Below are 20,394 nucleotides of genomic sequence, written 5' to 3'. Positions count from 1 at the left end.
AAATACAACTACATACCCACCAGGATTGGCTAGAATTGAAATATATGATACCACGTACGGTTGTTGGTAAGGGATATGAAACAAGAACTCTTACATACTAATAAATGAAGTAAAAACCACTAAACAACTACTTTGAAAAACTACCTGGCATTACCTGATAAAGACCAACATTCCCCATGTTCTTGCAATTCAAATTCTAAGTATATAATCTCAAGAAAACGAAATAAACATGCACCAGTGCACTTAAACAGAAATGTTCATAAAAGCATTGTTTATAATAGCCCCAAACTGCAAACAATCTAAATGCAATATCCAAAACAATGGCAGAAGGAATAAACTTGTGTTATATTCATGATGGAATATTATGAAACAATAAAAGCTAAAAATAAAATATATACAACACAATCCTATTTACATAAAGTTAAAAATGGGCAAAATTAAACTCTATTATTTAGAGATGTAAACTTATATGGTAAAACTATAAATGTCAGAAGAACATTTATATCTAGCTTAAATTAAGATGGTGATAGTTGTGATGGGAAAATATAGGTGGTGGGAGGCTTCTGGGATGCTGGCAATGTCTGTCTTGCCCTGGGTGGTGGTTACAAAGATGTTTGTTTAAAAATATTTCATTTTTATCTTATGTATCTTTTCAGCCTGTGTAGTTAGGTTTCCCAATAACACTCTCCCTGAGAAATTAAAAAAAAAAAAGTTCAAAAGAGAATGCTAAGACTGTTACTCAAAGAGATTAACTCTTAATCCATAGTTTAAAAACAGTAACAGGGATCTCTACATCCAAATACACACTGTATTATAAATTCCATGAATAAACTTTTGGCTTCAGGCCGGGTGCAGTGCCTCACACCTGTAATCCCAGCACTTTGGGAGGCCAAGGTGGGTGGATCATCTGAGGTCAGGAGTTTGAGACCAGCCTGGCCAACATGGTGAAACCCCGTCTCTACTCAAAATACAAAAATTAGCCAGCTGTGTTGGGCGCCTGTAGTCCCAGCTACTCGGAAGGCTGTGGCAGAACTGCTTGAACCCGGGAGGTGGAGGCTGCAGCGAGCCAAGATCGCACCACTGCACTCCAGCCTGGGCAAGAGCAAGACTCTGTCTCAAAACAACAACAAAAAAAAACGAAAACAAAACAAAACAAACACTTTTGGCTTTAATCTTTTAGACTACCATTCTTCGTTCAAATTTTGAAATGGAAGGTGAAATTTTCTGATATCGAATTACTCAACAAGTCATGTAAATTTTAAAATTTTAAGATTGAACTCCTTGCTTCTAATCTTGAAATCTGAAATGTGTCCAGTATTGACTAGACAGTTATAATGTAGTTTTCGATTAGATAATATCATGTAGACTAATATATAAAGGTTTGATAATGTCAGTTTTTGCGAACATAATCAAATTCCCCAAACTGGTTACACATTTAACTCATGTTGCTTAAGAAAAAGCAGCCGGGTGCGGTGGCTCATGCCTGTAATCCCGGCATTCTGGGAGGCTGAGGCAGGTGGATCACTTGAGGTCAGGAGTTCAAGACCAGCCTGGCCAATATGGTGAAAGCCTGTCTCAACTAAAAAATACAAAAATTAGCCAAGCGTGGTGGCACGCGCCAGTAATCCCAGCTACTCAGGAGGCTGAGGCAGGAGAATTGCTTGAACTTGGAAGGCAGAGGTTACAGGGAGCCAGGATTGTGCCACTGCACTCCGGCCTGGGCAACAGAGTGAGACGCCATCTCAAAAAGAAAAAAAAAAAAGAAAAAGAAAAAGCATATAATGATGTGGGATGAAATATCAAAGCCATGAGTACAAACATAAATTCAATGATTAAAAAAATTTTTCACTGCTATATTCATATATTTATCAAGTCATGACACAAAGAACAAATTTATATTTTATGTCATTATGTCATATGAATTTAACTATTACAGACTAATGAAATACTGACTCTAAAAGCTGCTGAAAAGTTTTTTAAAATGTGGGTTGTTAAAATGTAGACTTTTGGGGTTCCTGCATAAAAGGATATGTTCGTAGTTTTTAAAAAAGAACAAAAATACTTTAAAATTTTCAAATGTATTTTTTTTCTTTGTGAGGAATAAAGGTAACACAGCCAACTTATTGAGTCACTAAGCTGGCAAGACACTTTTAAATTCAGATTAGGTAAAGCAATACTTTAAAACAAATTTATTAAACCACTTTAATGAGAAATTATTTTCAACCCATATCTGGCTCTCACCCAGCACTTTTCATAATTTCATAAAGAGAGGCTTTTTCATAATTTCAAAAAGCCAGAAAAACACTATACAGCTAAGTAACTATTGTATAAAAAATATAAAAATAAATTCAAAATAAGGCCAAGCAAAAACTAAGTTACTTAAGAAGCATCACTGGGAAAGTCTTTAATAAACACCAAATACCATCCATCATACATCCTATAGCCGATTTCTAACCGCCAAGTCTACAGGTGTTTTAATGAGGTAATGTGTCACTGCATAATGTTTCACAAGGTGAAGAGGGAAATGTGGGGGTACTCCCTGGTTTTTCATACTACTTTTAAAATTAGACTTGGTGATTTTAAAAAGTGTATAATTCAATGATCTTCAGCAAATTTGCAGAGTTGTGCAACTATCACCATCTCATACTACTCCTTTATGGTGTACAGTTCTGTAACATCAAAAGGTTCCCTACCCAGGTATAAGATTTGTCCCAACACCAGGGCTATTAAAAAGATTTACCAGAGGCTGGGCGCGGTGGCTCATGCCTGTAATCCCAGCACTTTGGGTGGCCGAGGCGGGTGGATCACCTGAGGTCAGGAGTTCGAGACCAGCCTGGCCAACATGGTGAAACCCCGTCTCTACTAAAAATACCAAATTAGCTAGGGGTGGTGGCAGGCGCCTATAATCCCAGCTACTTGGGAGGCTGAGGCAGGAGAATCACTTGAACCCGGGAGGCGGACGTTGCAGTGAGCCGAAATCATTGCCTTTGCACTCCAGCCTGAGCAAAAAGAGCTAAACTCCATCTTAGAAAAATAAATAAATAAATAAATAAATAAAGGATTTACCAGAGCATCCAAGAAATATTATTAAATACTTGATCCCGTGAAACCACTCCCCTATCTGTTAACGATTTTTAAAATTTTACAGATTTCGAAAATCTTCTTCTTTATCCTTGGACCTAACCTATCCACAGGGTCCCTAACCATGCTATGCAGTTCCCACCTCTACCAGAAGTGCTGGGAAAATCACCTAGGTTATCTAGCTTCCCTCAAAGTATTTTACACTGTTGTGAGATTTCCTTTAAGATTCAGGAGCTAAAGTTTATTTTCTTTCTGGTTTCCTGGCGGAGCAAAGGCCCTGCACGTGTGAACGGAAACAAAACCCACACAGACTCTAGGGATGCCAAATATTAACACTGTGGGTAGGGGCACCTTCCTTCTCGGCCGAATTCCCTTTCCCAGAGAGCCTCCAGAGGGATCAGTCAACGCCCACTGAGCCTGGATCAAAGGTCAAGCTTGCCTGGTCAAGAAGGATCCTGGATCAAGCTTGAACCCGTTTCCAGAAACAGGGGCGTCGGGGCAGCAGCAAGCATTTTTACCACGCGCCCTAATGAGGTGGTTGCACAACAGGCTTTGAGGATTCCGGTTTAACAGGTAAATACCAACAGAGGATGAGCCGAGGGAGATGGGATCTGCTCCACGGCATCGATGGCATTTCGAGAATGTCTGCGTCGCAGAGCAAACCCAAAGTTTTAGCACATTACTCAAGAGTTCACCAGAGGAAGATCGCCACGAATTGAAATGAACAAAGTGAGAAAATGGGTGCTGTGTAGTCAACGCATCCGCGATGAACTCAAGCTGGGCGGAAAAATTCTTTGAATACTCCGGCTTTGTTTTGTGCTAAGACGGCAGAAGCCCCGAATTTCGGAGTTGGAAGACGCGTTTCTCCGTGTTCTCCGGCCCGTTCTCGGACTTCAGGGCCGCCCGCCGCGCACTCAGTCCCGTAGTTCCCCGGGCTTCAGGCGCGGACATTCCGGGGGGCGGAAACCAGGGAGCCGCGGGGAGGCCGCGGTCCGGCCCGCGACGCCGGGGCCCGGAGAAGGGAGGCGAGAGGCCTCCCGGAGCTCGACGGAGGGAGGGGAGGGAACGAGGAGGCCGCGGGCCGGAGCGGGGAGCAGCCCCGAGCGGCGCCCGGCTCGGCCCCCACCCTGAGGCCCGGTCCCGCGTACCTTTGGCAAGGGCTACGGTGGAGTTTTCGGTGTCGATGGTGTAGAGGATGCCCTCGTAGCGGATCTCCGCCTTGGAGATGAGGCTGATCTTGCTGCCGATGTAAGGGGTGCCCCCGCTCATGGCGCCGCCGCCGCCGCTCCCAGCTGCTCGCAGAGAGGCAGATCCCACGCCACTGTCGCCCGCTCCGCACGCCCGCTCGCTCCGTCGGCGCCTACAGCAGCCGCTTCAGACCCAACATGGCGGCGGCGCCGGCTCCGCTACCCTCCCCCAGCCTCCCGCCCTCAAGCCGCGGCGCGGCGGCGGCGGCGGCGGCGGCAGCGGCGGCGGCGCGGGGCATGCTGGGAGGGCGAGGCCGCGCTCTCGCGAGACTTGGCCGGCTACTGGTGGCTCCCGGCTCATTCGTGGCCTCGGGAGTCCCGGCAGCGCTTGTTGGCCTGGACTACGGTGGTGGTCTTGGGGCCGCGTGAGAGGAACTTCGGGGACCGGCTGAGTGCCTCGTGGCACCCGCTTGCTGCGGGCTGGAGAGGAGGCGCGCGGCCTTCCTTTTGACTCAGGCCGTGGCCGCCTTGTCGTGGGTCCTGTGTCTTTGCCGACGCGGGGCCCTCGGCCTGGAGCGCTGCCCACCCGCCTCCGAGCTGTGGCGAGCCGCTGCTCATCCTTCTAAGACGCTGAACCTGCACCTCGTGGAGCTCCTACGGCTCCATTACCGCAGTCATCGCCCGGGGAGCTTCCCCCGAGGCTGCCCCTGGAGCTGGGGCTCTCACAAGGACTCAAGTGTTTCAGCCCCTTCCTGTCCCGCTCATTCAGCCGGTCTGAACCAGTTTCATGGCTTGCAACGCCATTGTAACTCACTAATCCCAATTATCAGTATGTAGCTTGGATCAATTCCGTGAACCAGGGTTTCTGTCGAATCTCAAACGTTAAGGGTCCAAAGCCATGCTCCCTGTTTCCCCTCTAACCTGCTCCTTCACCACCGTTCCCTATTTGATGTAAACGGTACCATTTTTACTCAGCTGCTCAGACTAAAAGCCGTGAGTCAGCCTTGCCCTGTCTTGCTTCCACATCTGTTCTGACTACACCTCTCCGTTATGTATACACAATATATCCTAAATCTGACTTCTCATCTCCATTCCTACACTTCTCCCACAAGCCACGATTACTCGGGCTGAATTATTGCAGTAGCCTTCTAAAAGTTGCCTCTGTGTCAACTCTTGCCCCCAGTACTTTATTCTCAATACAGCAGCCAGAGAGATCTTCTTAAAATCTAACTCAGGGCTGGGCGCAGTGGCTCACGCCTGTACTCCCAGTACTTTGGGGGCCCGAGGCGGGCGCATCACCGGTCAGGAGTTCGAGACCAGCCTGGCCAACATGGTGAAACCCCGTCTCTACTAAAAATATAAAAAAATTAGCCAGGCGTGGTGGCGCGCGCCTATAGTCTCAGCTACTTGGGAGGCTGAGGCAGGAGAATTGCTTGAACCCAGGAGGCGGAGGTTGTGGTGAGCCGAGATTGTGCCACTGCACTCCAGCCTGGGCGACAGAGCGAGACTCCGTCTCAAAAAAAAAAAAAAAAATCTAACTCAGATCATGTCCTTCCTCTACTCACTCTACTGATCCCATGTTACACAGAGAGAAAACCAGACTTTGGTGTCTAAGGATATACATGATTTAGCTTCTCGTTCTGTTCCAGTCGCGTCTAATTCAACCAGTACTTGAGCACTTTATTCCAGTCTCTGCTCAAGCATCACCTCCAGAGATGACGTCCCTGACAGCCTTGTTTAAAATAATACCACTCATCTCCTTAACTCAGCTTGTATTTTCTTTATAGCATGTATCTCTCTCAAGTATGTCTGTTTAATTATTTGTATGTATCTGTCTCCTTCACTAGAATGTAAACATTTTGAGATAGTGATGTTGTTTTGGTTGCTGCCGTATCATCAGGGGCCTAGTAACAGCACGTGGCTCAGGGCAGCTGCTCAGTTAATATTTGCTGCATGAATGAACAGCAGGATGAAGGCAGAGCACAGGCAGGACGGTGAGCTGAGTGAGCAAATGGCGAGAAGCCTGGCATCATAAGAGAGGGACACAGGAGAGAGACAGAGCTCTGATGGGGCTGGTGCACAGTGGCTACAAAGAAAGGTTTGGAAATCCCTGTTTCAGTACAAGGTCCATGCGAGGAAGTTGAATTATTTGTTTTTGTTTTTTTGAGACAGTCTCACTCTGTCACTCGGGATGGAGTGCAATGGTGCCATCTCGGCTCACTGCAACCTCTGTCTCCTCTGTTCAAGCGATTCTCCTGCCTCAGCCTCCCGAGTAGCTGGGATTACAGGCGCATGCCACCACGCCTGACTGATTTTTTGTATTTTTAGTAGAGATGGGTTTCACCATGTTGGCCAGGCTGGTCTTGAACTCCTGGCCTCAAGTGTTCACCTGCCTTGGCCTCCCAAAGTGCTGGGATTACAGGCGTGAGCCACCGTGCCCGGAAATTCTTTCAAGGCTAAATAATATCCCTTTGTATGGACATACCATATTTTGTTTATCCATTTATCAGTTGATGAACATTTGGGTTGTTTTCACTTCTGCTATTATAAATATCCATGAGTACCTCTATGAACAAGTTTTTGTGGGAACATGTGTTTTCAATCCTCCTAAGAATGAAGTAGTTGAGCCATATGGTAACTCAGAGTTTAACTTTTTGAGGAACTGTCAAACTGTTTTCCAAAGCAGCTACACTATTTTACATTTCCACTGGCAATTGTATGAGGGCTCCAATTTTCTCCACAGCCTCACCAACACCTATTATTGTCTATCTTTTTTTGTTTGTTTGTTTGAGACGGTGTTTCGCTCTTGTTGCTCAGGCTGGAGTGCAGTGGCGTGATCTTGGCTCACCGCAACCTCCGCCTCCCGGGTTCAAGAGATTCTCCAGCCTCAGCCTCCCTAGTAGCTGGGATTACAGGCATGCACCACCAAGCCCGGCTAATTTTGTATTTTTAGTAGAGTGGGGGTTTCTCCATGTTGGTCAGGCTGGTCTCAAACTCCCGACCTCAGGTGATCCGCCCTCCTTGGCCTCCCAAAGTGGTGGGATTACAGGCGTGAGCCACCGCACCCCGCCATTTGTGTATCTTTTTGAGACAGGGTGCCACTCTGTCATCCAGGCTGGAATGCAGTGGCCCTATCATGGCTCACTGCAACCTTCCTGGGCTCAAGCAATCCTCCACCTCAGCCTCCCAGGTAGCTGGGACCACAGGTGCAAACCACCATGCCCAGATAATTTTTGTATTTTTTTGTAGAGACAGGGCCTTGCCATGTTGCCCAGGTTGGTCTCAAATGCCTGGACTCAAGTGATCCTCTCGCCTTGGCTTCCCAGAGTGCTGGAATTACAGGCGTTGAGCCCCACACCCAGCTAAACACTTTTAAATTGGGCAATTTTTCTTTTTATTGTTGAGTGGCAAGAGTTCTTTTATATATTCTAGATACAAGTCCCTAATCAGATCTATAATTTGTAAATAGTCTCTCTTATTCAGCGGATTGGTTGTCTTTTCACTTTCTTGATAGTGTCCTTTGAAGCACAAAAGTTTTTAATTTTTATAAAGTCCAGTTTATTCATTTTTGTTGTTGTTGTTGTTTGCACTTTTGGTGTCATATGCAATAAAGCATTGCCTAATCCAGGATACAAATATTTACCCATAATGTTTGCTTCTAAGTTTTATGTGTTAGCTCTTACATTTAGGTCTTTGATTTATTTTGAGCCAATTTTTGTCTATGGTATGAGGGGGACTTCAAATCTTGCCTGAAATAGAGATGGGATTAAGAAGCTTTCAGATCAAACAGGAGATGGAGTGATTACAGGAGGAAGAGTGAGATGCATTCTGGAAAGTAAGCAATTCAGTGTGGCCACAGCCTAAAGAATGCAGAGTATATTAGGAGTTATAGTGGATAGCAGTGGCCACACCAAAGGTGGTGAGGGTTGAGGGCTTTGTTTCTCCCATATTGTCCAACAGCCATCCCCTAGCCTCATAAAGTAAAGACAAATATAAGGAAAAAACAGTGTACTAGCTGGGAATTGCTTTGGACAAGCCTCGCAAATCCTCCAGATCTTCTTTCTTACCCCATAGCTCCTCAAGTGTAGAAATTCTAGAGCTTCTACTGCTGAAAACATGAATGGGGAAGAATTTAGTTTTTCTGCAGGTTGCCGGGAGCTCTTAAGCAGGGAAGCAACAATGGATTTTGGATCTTTAGGAAGCCTGCGATGGTCATAAAATGTGTCACGGTTCTCAACCTTGTTTCTAGTACATGAAACGGAGATTAATGTGCATATTACACTAGGGGCTACCAACTGATCAGCTGCATTATACATAGTTCCTGCCGCCCTAGGGTGCAGGAAACCATGAGTTGCAAAACATAAAGTAGAATCTAACAGATTGGTGACTGATTGGGTGTAGCCAGATAAGGACTCCTAGTTCCAGGACTGAACACCTAGGTCAGTCCTAGGGCTAGTGATGAGCATAAGGAGAACGGATAAAAGGAAGTTTATTTGGGGGGAGGATGGAAATACTAATAGATGCAAATAATTTTGCACTTGTTGAGCTGGAAGTGCCTGTTGGGACACCAAGCAATTGCGTCTATTTCATAATTGGTATGACCCTAAAAGTCAGGAGATCTGAAATGGAGGTGTACATTTGGAAATTGTTACAGATGGAAAAAGGATAAGCTCACTGTCAGTGGCTCATGCCTGTAATTCCAGCTACTCGAGAGGCACTGCAGCCTGGGCGACAGAGCGAGACTCTGTCTCAAAAAAAAAAAAAAAAAAAAAAAAAAAAGAAACACCAAGAACAGGCAAATCCACAGAGGCAGAAAATATTAGTAGATTAGTGGCTGCAAGGGGCTGGGACATGGGGGTGAGGAGTAGGAATGGGAAGTCACTACCAAGGGGCGCAGGGTTTCTTTCTGGGGTGATAAAAATGTCTGGAAGTAGGATGGGCACAGGGGCTTGTGCCTGTAATCCCAGCACTTTCGGAGACCGAGGCTGGTGGATCGCCTTAGGTCAGGAGGTCAAGACTAGCCTGGCCAACATGGTGAAACCCCGTCTCTACTAAAAACACAAAAAAATTAGTCAGGCGTGGTGGCGCACGCCTGTAATCCCAGTTACTTGGGAGGCTGAGGCAGGAGAATAGCTTGAATCCGGGAGGCGGAGGCTGCTGTGAGCCAAGATAGTGCCATTACACTCCAGTCTGGACAACAAGAGTGAAACTCCATCTCAAAAAGGGAAAGAAAAAAGAAAATGTCTGGAAGTATATAATGATAATGGTTGCATGGCTTTGTGGATATACGAAAACCCACTAAATTGTATACTTTAAAAAGTGAACTTAGGGCCGGGCGCGGTGGCTCAAGCCTGTGATCCCAGCACTTTGGGAGGCTGAGGTGGGCAGATCACGAGGTCAGGAGTTCGAGACCAACGTGACCAACGTAGTACTAAAAATACAAAAAAAATTAGCTGGGCGTGGTGGCGGGCGTCTGTAATCCCAGCTCCTCAGGAGGCTGAGGCAGGAGAATTGCTTGAACTTGGGAGGCAGAGGTTGCAGTGAGCCGAGATCACGCCACTGCACTCCAGTCTGGGCGACAGAGCAAGACTCCATCGCAAAAAAAAAAAAAAAAAAAAAAAAAGAGTGAATTTTATGATATGTGAATTCTATCTCAAAAAGGCAAACTTTCCATGTAAAATGGCCCTATTAAAAACTAAGTTTATGTAGCAAAAACAGGCACTTGCTTTTGAAATAATATGTAAGTAAAAAAGCTGAATACAGAATTGTGTGAGTATAAAGACTTTCTTAAAAGGAAAAAAAACAAACAACATATGAAAATAAAGGAGGAAAGCAGTAATTTCCAAATGCTATGGTACCATGGTATTAGATAAAATTTTTTGTTTGTTTGTTTGTTTTTTGAGATGGAGTCTCGCTGTGTCGCCCAGGCTGGATGGAGTGCAGTGGCGCGATCTCGGCTCACTGCAAGCTCCACCTCCTGGGTTCACGCCATTCTCCTGCCTCAGCCTCCCAAGTAGCTGGGACTACAGGTGCTCGCCACCATGCCCAGCTAATTTTTTGTATTTTTAGTAGAGAAGGGATTTCACCGTGTTAACGAGGATGGTCTCAATCTCCTGACGTCGTGATCCGCCCGTCTCGGCCTCCCAAAGTGCTGGGATTACAGGCGTGAGCCACCATGCCCGGCCTAGATATAAACTTTTAAGGTAAGTTTTTGTCTCTGTATTAGTTAGGAGATGTGTTCTGTTTATAGGAACCACCCCCAAATTCAGTGACTTAAAACAATTATCACTTTATTATACCTCTCAATTTCATGGATCAGGCTTGACTAAGCAATTCAGTTCCGTGTAGCCTCAACTGGAATCATTGAGGGCAGCTTGCCTGGTCTAGAGGGTCCAAGATGGCTTTACTCACTTATCTGACTATTTCACAGGATCAGCTAGAAGTCCAGGAATTTTGTGACACTATTTGTGGCAGTGTTATTTTGAGTCTCTCCTGACCAGCAAACACATATCCTAAATGATGCAAAAGGCAAAGATATCTAACATCTACTGGTATTGTATACTTTGTAAAGTACACAAAGTCTACTTTGTGCTTGGTATTGGGTCAGTCATCTTACACACATTGGAGGAGACACATCTTACACAGGTTGAATTTTTTTCTTTTTGAGACAGGGTCTCACTCTATGGCCCAGGCTGGGGTGCAGTGGCATGATCTCGGCTCATTGCAACCTACACCTCCTGGGTTCAAGCGATTCTCGTGCTTCAGCCTCCCAAGTAGCTGGGATTACAGGCATGCACCACCACACCCACCTAATTTTTGTATTTTTAGTAGAGACGGGTTTTCACCATGTTGGCCAGGCTGGTCTGGAGCTCCTGACCTCAAGTGATCCACATGCCTCGGCCTCCCAAAGTGCTGGGATTACAGGCACTTTGGGAGGCCAGTCCACAGGTTGAGTTCTAAAGCCATGTGTGTCTGTTGGTTCTTCTCAGAATTAGATGCTGAGCCAGAGTTAAGAGGTTTATTGGAGGTAATGCCTGAGAAAGGTAAAACGGAGAAGAAGCAGGATTGAGCAGGGAGAGCCCCAGACCGTACTGCAGATCTGACAACGTCTTGGCCAACCCAACAGGAAGCCCTGGAGTGAAGATGGCTCTTTGGAACAGAAATGGTTAGGCCCTAGTACCCCTGTTGTGTTCTGTCGTTGGCTGGGGTTGTCTGGGAGGAGCGTGGCCTTGGATTGAAAGAGGAAGTAGATCCTGTTGGCTAACTTCACTTCTTGGAACAGCACGATTAGTTCTTTCTGGAAACCAGTAAAAATTAGATATAGTGACTGGGCGTGGTGGCCTATGCCTGCAATCCCAGCACTTTGGGAGGCCGAGGCAGGCAGATCACTTGAGGTCAGGAGTTCAAGACCAGCCTGGCCAACACAATGAGATACTGTAAAAATACAAAAAATTAGCAGGGCATGGTGGCACACACCTGTTATCCCAGTTACTCAGGAGGCTGAGGCCCGAGAATCACTTGAACCTGGGAAGCAGGGAGCTGCAGGGAGCCGAGATGGCGCCACTGCACTCCAGCCTGGGTGACAGAGCCAGACTCCGTTTCAAACAAACAAACAAACAAACAAACAAACAAAATGTATATATGGTAAACAATACTCCAAAGTCTTATCCTGAGATTGCATCTCACCTTAGTGTTAGTACACTTGATCCCCAGATTAATGGATTTCTCTCTTTTTTAATTTTTTGAGACAGGCTTTTGCTCTGTCACCCAGGATGGAGTATAGGGTGCGAGCGCAGCCCACTGTAGCCTCAACCTCCTGGGCTCAGGGGATCCTCCCACCTCAGCGCCCCCAAGTAGCTGGGACCACAGGTGCACACCACCACGTCCAGCTATCTTTTTAAAGAGAGTGTATTTTTCTGTTGAAAATCTGCATCTTGTTGGCTTGGCACAGTGGCTCATGCTTGTAATCCCAGCACTTTGGGAGGCCAAGACAGGTGGATCACCTGAAGTCAGGAGTTCAGGACCAGCCTGGCCAACACAGTGAAACCCCATCTCTACTAAAAATACCAAAATTAGCTGGGTGTGGTGGCAGGAACCTGTAATCCTAGCTACTGGGGAGACTGAGGCAGGAGAATTGCTTGAACCCGGGAGGTGGAGGTTGCAGTGAGCCGAGATCATGCCATTGCACTCCTGTCTGGGCGACAAGAGTGAAATTCTGTCTCCAAAAAAAAAAAAAAAATCTTCATCTTCTTATCATTTTGTCTATTTTATGCTCTAATTTCATTAACATATTTATAGTAATTATCATAAAGTCCTTATCTGTGAGTTCCAGCATCTCAATCATATAAGAATCTGCATGTATTGTTTTTTCTCTTGATTATGCATCACATTTTCCTGCTTCTTTGCATCTCATAATTTTTAATTTTATGCCAGATATTGTGTCTAGCTAGATACTGTATTCTAGACATTGTAAAGAACCAAAGTGACGGAAGTAAATATTTTTTTCCCTGGAGAGGGCAAGCCCTTTCCTCTTGCCAGTCAATTAGGATGAGGAGCTTGATCAGTCAGATCCAATCAACAGTGGAGCTGAATTGGGGTTGGATGAATTGCAGATTTAGTTAGTTTTTGTTCACCTGGATTTTAAATGTCTTAAGGGCAAGATGTGATCTGCGTGTCTTGTGGGCCCCTTCTTCTAGTGGAATTTTGGACCTGAGCATGAAGAATTAGTGGAGTTTTCTGTCTGTCTTTCAATGAGGAAGACAGAAGACCCAGCCTCCTGCACTGTAACCCACTTAGCAAAAATGGAAGACTAGCACTGTGTTTTGAGTTCTTAGATATTTCCATCTGTTGCTCCAGCCCGTAGAGATGTTTAAAGAATCAGTGGTTTCTTCTTAGCCAAGGAGAGCCCCATCCTCTGTGGCAGGGCCCATCCTCTGCCTGCCCATGCCCAGACTTGGCAAATGCCCCCAATGATCCCTAATTTTTCCTACCTATGAAGCCTTGTCCTCTTTCTCTAGAATTTAGTTCCTTTAGACTATTTTATAGACATCTGAAAAATCAGTATGATATTTTACTTTATCTGTTTTCCCCCATCTTTACAGCAAAACTGGTGGCTTATTTAGATATTTACAGCCTAATTGGAAGAGGAATTTGAAAGATTTTTTTGGCCATATTCATTTTTAATTTTTATTTTATTTATTTATTTTTTTGAGATGGAGTCTCACTCTTTTGCCCAGGCTGGAGTGCAGTGGCACAATCTCTGCTCACTGCAACCTCTGCCTCCCAGGTTCAAGCAATTCTCCTGCCTCAGCCTCCCGAGTAGCTGGGGTTACAGGCATGCACCACCATGCCTGGCTCATTTTTGCATTTTCAGTAGAGACAGGGTTTCGCCATGTTGGCCAGGCTGGTCTTGAACTTCTGACCTCAGGTGATCCACCGGCCTTGGCCTCCCAAAGTGCTGGGATTACAGGTGTGAGCCACCACACCCAGCCTTTGGCCATATTTAAATCCATTAGGAACATATCTGTTATATCCTTAGGGAGGACCTCCTAGCTAGTTTTTTTTCTCTAGAGATAGACTGCTGGTCCTTCATTTAAGCAATATATAATGCTCTTGGCTTGCATTTGGGGGCCATGTGTTTTGGAAAATATGTCCCTTCGAACAACAGACCCACTCTCACTGGGTGAACCTCTTATTCTGTGAGAGACACTCTGAAACTGAGACTAATAACCATTGCTAGGGAAGGTGTCGCCCATCCCATACGTGCTCTGGGGTGCATGCACATTGAGTGGAATTGTTACTAATTCCTATCTTTCTCTTACTCTCTCTTGCCAAGGCAGGATCGTTGAATTGGTATAGTTAAATACATAGATGGTAAAATTTCATAGTTTGCTGCTTCTTAATTTAGTTAGAGCAGCCCTCTGTTACATGTCTTTATGTCTAATTTTAAAATGAGAAAACTAGCTGGGCATGGTGGCTCATGACTGTAATCCCAGCACTTTGGGAGGCTGAAGCAGGAGGATTGCCTGAGTCCAGGAGTTCGAGACCAGCCTGGGCAACATAGTGAGACCCTGGCTCTTCAAAAATAAAACAAAATTAGTTGTACGTGGTAGCACATTCCAGTAGTCCCAGCTACTCAGGAGGCTGAGCTGGGAAGATCACTTGACCAAGAGGTCAAGGCTGCAGTGAGCTGTGATCGTGGTGCTGCACTCCAGCCTTGGCAACAGGGCGAGAATGTCTCAAAAAAAACCCCCAAAAACAAAAAACGAAAACCAGCCAGGCAAGGTGGCTCATGCCTGTAATCCCAGCACTTTGGGAGGCAGAGGCGGGTGGATCACTTGAAGTCAGGAGTTCGAGACCAGCTTGGCCAACATGGTTAAACCCTGTCTCTACTAAAATACAAAAATTAGCTGGGCGTGGCGATGCATGTCTGTAATCTCAGCTACTCAGGAGGCTGAGGCAGGGGAATTGCTTGAACCCAGGAGGCAGAGGTTGCAGTGAGCTGAGATCACGCCATTGCACTTCAGCCTGGGCAACAGAGTGAGATTCTGTCTCAAAAAAAAAATGAAACAAAAACCATACACATACACACACACACACACACCCTCCCAACTCAAAAGCAGAAGTCAAGTAACTTAGATCTAGTATTAAGGTGGAAGTCGTGGATTTCAATCAAGTTGTTATAATTCCACAATGTGGGTGCTTTAAACCATTTTAGGATGGCAAATATAATTTTTCATCAAGTGACAACTTAAGCAGATGACACTGCTTGCCTGGAAATTTGTGTTGAGAAGGATTCTGAGATTGTGTCTGAGACATCAGGAGCTTGTACCGTGATCAATTACCAGTGCCTTCCATGGACACAGGGCAGAAGAATGGTGGCACCAGGTGCAAATCTGTCTATACCATCTGCCTCCTAAGTAAATGCAGTAAAAGCATGACTAAGTGCTTTGTAAACTTAATAGCATTCTACAATTAGTTTTATTATCCTTACCGTTTCTCAAATATTTGTCCAACTACCCTAACAACGAACAATAGAAATTGATAAGATATGTATGATTGGAAAGTAATCAAAATAATGGAAACTAATCTATAATTAATTTTTCTGAGTAAAGAAAAATTCCTTTTTTTTTGAGACAGAGTCTCTCTCTGTTGCTCAGGCTGGAGTGCAGTGTTGCGATCTCGGCTCACTGCAACCTCTGCCTTCTGGGTTCAAGCAATTCTCTTGCCTCAGCCTCCAGAGTAGCTGGGACTACAGGTGTGTGCCACCACACTCGGCTAATTTTTGTATTTTTTAGTAGAGATGGGGCTTCGCCATGTTGGCCAGGCTGGTGTTGAACTCCTGACCTCAAGTGATCCTCTGGCCTTGGCCTGCTAAAGTGCTGGGATTACAGGCATGAGCCACTACGCCCAGCCTGAAAATAATATTTCTAAAGCAAATTTGATGATGCCAAACCTGTCCCTCAAGACTCCCTGCCCACCCCACATCTTAGTCCATTTGGGCTGCTGTAACAAAATATCACACACCGGTGGCTTATCAGCAAAAGAAATTTATTTCTCATAGTTCTGGAGGCTGGGATGTCCAAGATTAAGGCTGACAGATTCAGTTTCTGGTGAGGACTGTCTCCTGGTTCATAGATGGCTGTCTTTTTGCTAAAACCTCCCATGGAGAAAGGGGCAAGGGATCTCTCTGGGTCTCTCTCTCTTTTTTTTGAGACAGAGTTTCGTTCTGTCACCCAGGCTGGAGTGCAGTGGCTCCACCTCAGCTCACTGCAACCTCTACCTTTTGGGTTCAAGCAATTCTCCTGTCTCAGCCTCCTGAGTAGCTGGGACTATAGGCATGCACCACCAGGCCCAGCTAATTTTTGTATTTTTAGTAGAGACAGGGTTTCACCATGCTGGCCAGGCTGGTCTTGAACTCCTGACCTCAAGTGATCCTCCCACCTCAGCCTCCCAAAGTGCTGGGATTACAAGCATGAGCCACCGCGCCTGGCCGTCTCTCTCTCTTTTGAGATAGGGTCTTGCTGTGTCACCCAGGCTGAAGTACAGTGGTGTGATCATGGCTCACGACAGCCTCAAACTTCTGGGCTCAAACAATCCTCTTGTCTTAGCCTCGTGCATAGTCACTGGGACTACAGGCATTCACCACAACACCCTGCTATTAAAAAAAAAAAAAATGTAATAGAGACAGTGTTTCACCATATTGCCCAGGTTGGTCTCAAACTCCTTAGCTCAAGTGATTCTCCCAGTCTGGCCTCCCAAAGTGCAGGGATTACATTTGTGAGCCTCCATGCTTGGCCAGAATCTCTTTTATAAAGGCATTAAATTTTTTTTTTTTTGAAACGGAGTTTCACTCTTGTTGCCCAGGCTGGAGTGCAATGGTACGATCTTGACTCACCGCAACCTCCGCCTCCCGGGTTCAAGCGAGTCTCCTGCCTCAGCCTCTTCAATAGCTGGGATTACAGGCATGCGCCATCACACCTGGCTAATTTTGTATTTTTAGTAGAGATGGGGTTTGTCCATGTTGGTCAGGCTGGTCTTGAATGCCCGATCTCAGGTGATCCGCCTGCCTAGGCCTCCCAAAGTGCTGGGATTACAGTCATGAGCCACAGCGCCCGACCCTAAAGGCACTAATTTTATCCATGAGGGCTTGACCCTCATGACCTAGTCACCTTCTAAAGGCCCCACTTCCCAATACCATCCCCTTGAGGGCTAAGATTTCAATTTATGAATTTTAGGGGAACATAAACATTCAGTCTGTTGTACTTCCCCCCATCCCCAAAGCCTTCAATGGCTTTAATAGCTTCTCCTTGCTCTTTTCTCTTGGAATATCCTGGGTTATGTTGTTTACAAAATCCTGTGTGAGTTGGCACTTGCTTAAATCTCTGGTCTCGCCTTTTGTCTCTCCCGTTTACCTTCCCCGCTTCTGTCTCTCTACTCCCTCCAAGCCTTAACTTAATAATATTTGTTTATTTATTTTGAGATGGATTCTTGCTTTGTCACCCAGGCTGGAATGCAGTGGTGCAATCTCGGCTCACTGCAACCTCTGCCTCCCAGGTTCAAGCGATTCTCCTGCCCCAGCCTCTCAAGTAGCTGGGATTACAGATGTGCACCACCACACCCAGCTAATTTTTGTATTTTTAGTAGACACAGGGTTTCACCATGTTGGCCAGGCTGGTCTTGAACTCCCGACCTCAGGTGATCGGCTTGCCTCACCCTCTCAAAGTGCTGGGATTACAGGCTTGAGCCACCACTCCCGGCCTAAAAATATTTTTTATATTGTCGGTATTAGTCCATTCTCACAGTGCTAGAAACAAATGCCTGAGGCTGGGTAATTTATAAGGAAAAGAGGTTTAATTGGCTCATGGTTCTGCAGGCTATACAGGAAGCATGGCTGGGGAGGCCTCAGGGAACTTACAGCTGTGATGGAAGGGGAAGGGGAAGCAGGCGTGTCTTACGTGGATGGAGCAGAAATAATGGTGGGGGGAGGTGTCACACAATTTTTGTTTTGTTTTGAGATGGAGTTTCACTCTGTGGCCCAGGCTGGAGTGCAGTGGCGCAATCTCGGTTCACTGCAATCTTTGCCTCCTGGGCTCAAGCGATTCTCCTGCCTCAGCCTGCCAAGTAGCTGGGATTACAGGTGCCCACCACCACGCCCAGCTAATTTTGGTATTTTTAGTAGAGATGGGGTTTCATCTTGTTACCAAGGCTAGTCTCAAACTCCTGACCGCAAGTGATCCACCCACCAAAGTGCTGGGATTACAGGCAGGAACCACCGCTCACACACTTTTAAACAGCCATGGAGATCTCTTGAGAACTCTATCATGAGATCAGCACTAGGGGGATGGTGCAAACCCATTAGAAACCACCCCCATGATCTGATCACCTCCTACCAGGCCCCCCTTACAACATTGAGGATTTCAACTCGACATGAGATTTGAGTGGGAATACAGGTCCAAACCATTTCATTATCATATAATATGATTAAATATAAATAGAGAGGTGAGTCTCACTATGTTGGCCAGGTTGGTCTTGAACTTCTGGCCTCAGGCAATCTGCCTGCCTCCGCTTTCCCAAGTGCTAGGATTACAGGCATGAGCCACTGTGCCTCGCCCCTCCAAGCCTTTGTCCTGTATTCCAGAAACCACATGAAACTTCTCCCAGATTCTCCCCGTCAAGCCTTCTCACTGCAGCTCAGCCTAGATATTTTTCAGTTCGGGAGACTTCTCACTGCTGAGATCTGCTGTCTGAGATAGTTGCTGATCTCGAACTCCTGACGTCAGGTGATCCACCCACCTCAGCCTCCCAAAGTCCTGGTATTACAGACATGAGCTGCCGTGCCTGGTCTCACCATTGCATTCTTAGTGCCAACTTGACCTGGCTCAGAGTAGGAACACAATAAATCTTGGTTAGATGAATTAATAGGTTAAATTTTTTTTTTGTATTGTGCTCACAGTAGGAGGTGAATTTTTTAAAAAATGGAACGTATAGAAGAAATCACTTCTAGCTTTAAAGATTTTGTTTTAGGTCAGGCCTGGTGGTTCATGCCTGTAATCCCAGCACTTTGGGAGGCTAAGGCGGACAGATCTCTTGAGCCCGGGAGTTGGAGATCAGCCTGGGCAACATGGCAAAACCCCGTCTCTACAAAAATTAGCCAGGCATGGTGGTGCATGTGTGTAGTCCCAGCTACTTGGGGGGCTGAAGCAGGAGGATCATTTGAGCTTGGGAGGTCGAGGCTGCAGTGAGCTGTGATTGCACCACTGCACTCCTACCTGGGGGACAGAGTGAGACCTGTCCCCTCCCCTCACCCAAAAGAGTCAATTTTAACACAAGGGCTTAAAATAAGTTATGTAGGACATTAATTACTGCACTCATGTTCTATGCTTAGTTTTTAAAGTGAAATGTTTTGCCCTAAATCCAAGTATTTTTATTCCTTTCTCCTTGTGTACTAAGTTAACATGCAGATTTCAAACTACCAGCTGAGTAGGTTTGTGTACGGTTTTCTTGTTACTCTGTGGCAGATACCCATGGCTTTCTCATTCACCCCATCTGGGCCTCCAGTGTGGTCTAATTATCCCAAAAAGCCAAGATGTGTTAGAGCAGAGCTTGATTACTCTAATGGTACAATGTTTTTACAAACCTTCTGATTCCTGAATAATCATCATTATCATATTTATGTGTTTAGCCAAAAGCTTAATTGGAAGATTCCAGAATGAAACAGTGCTGTAGGAGAAAAAACCTTCTAGTCATTTTCTTTGGAACAATTTTTTTAAAAATCAAAGTATCACTAATACATGCATAAGGTTAAACAATCAAATTATGCAGGAGGGTTTATGATGCATGGAGATCATTCCGGCCTCTCTCTCCCCAGCCGTGGTCCTATGGAGGCAACCATATTTAGTTCCTTCAGCTGTTTCTCCTGGTGGTTATTGTTGCATGGAAATAATAGGGTTACATCACTAGTTATTTTATTTTATTTTTTTGAGATGGATCTCGCTGTCACCCATCTAGGCTCACTGCAACCTCTACCTCCTGGGTTCAAGTAATTCTTGTGCCTCAGCCTCCCGAGTAGCTGGGATTACAGGCATGCACCACCTTGCCTGGCTAATTTTTGTATTTTTAGTAGAGATAGGCTTTCACCATGTTGCTTAGGCTGGTCTTGAACTCCTGACCTTAAGTGATCCACCCACTTCTGTCTCCTATAGTGCTGGGATTACAGGCCTGAACCACTGCACCTGGTCCTATTTTAAATTTGTGTTAATTTTAGGGGTACAAGTGCAGTGTTGTTACATGGATCTATTGAATAATGGTGAAGTCAGGGCTTTTAGTGTACCCATCATCTGAATAAAGTACATTTTGCCTGTTATTTTTTGTTTTTATTATTTTTTTTGAGACAGGCTGTCACTCTGTGGCCCAGGCTAGAGTGCAGTGGCATGATCTCTGCTCACTGTAGCCTGGAATTCCTGGACTCAAGGAATCCTCCCACCTCAGCCTCCTAAGTAGCTGGGACTACAGGCATGCACCACCATACCCAGCTAATTTTTGTATTTTTTGTGGAAACAGGGTTTTGCCCTGTTGCCCAGGCTAGTCTTGAACTCCTGGGCTCAAGAGAGCCACCCAACTAGGC

At 45.6% G+C, this 20,394-nt stretch overlaps 1 protein-coding gene across 30 annotated transcripts in view; it reads right to left on the bottom strand.

The window, feature by feature from the left end:
- Positions 1 to 4,489, bottom strand: part of LSM14A (LSM14A mRNA processing body assembly factor) — a 56,785-nt gene extending 52,296 nt beyond the window's left edge. For 28 of the 30 annotated variants that reach the window (NR_169261.1, NR_169264.1, NR_169266.1 and 25 more), the window contains exon 1: positions 4,230 to 4,489. Coding sequence is in view for 18 of the 30 variants with exons in the window: in NM_001114093.3 (NP_001107565.1) it covers positions 4,230 to 4,350 (121 nt within the window). In the remaining 12 variants the exon portion in view is untranslated. Of the gene's footprint in view, positions 1 to 3,520 lie in introns of all 30 variants that reach the window. The other 2 variants (NM_001384434.1, NM_001384433.1) reach the window with 2 other exon arrangements.
- Between the last annotated feature and the right edge of the window lie 15,905 nt (positions 4,490 to 20,394).

This window comes from Homo sapiens, chromosome 19, assembly GCF_000001405.40.
Source record: "Homo sapiens chromosome 19, GRCh38.p14 Primary Assembly".
In the NCBI taxonomy this organism is placed as follows: domain Eukaryota; kingdom Metazoa; phylum Chordata; class Mammalia; order Primates; family Hominidae; genus Homo; species Homo sapiens.
This window is presented reverse-complemented; position numbering and strand designations above follow the sequence as displayed.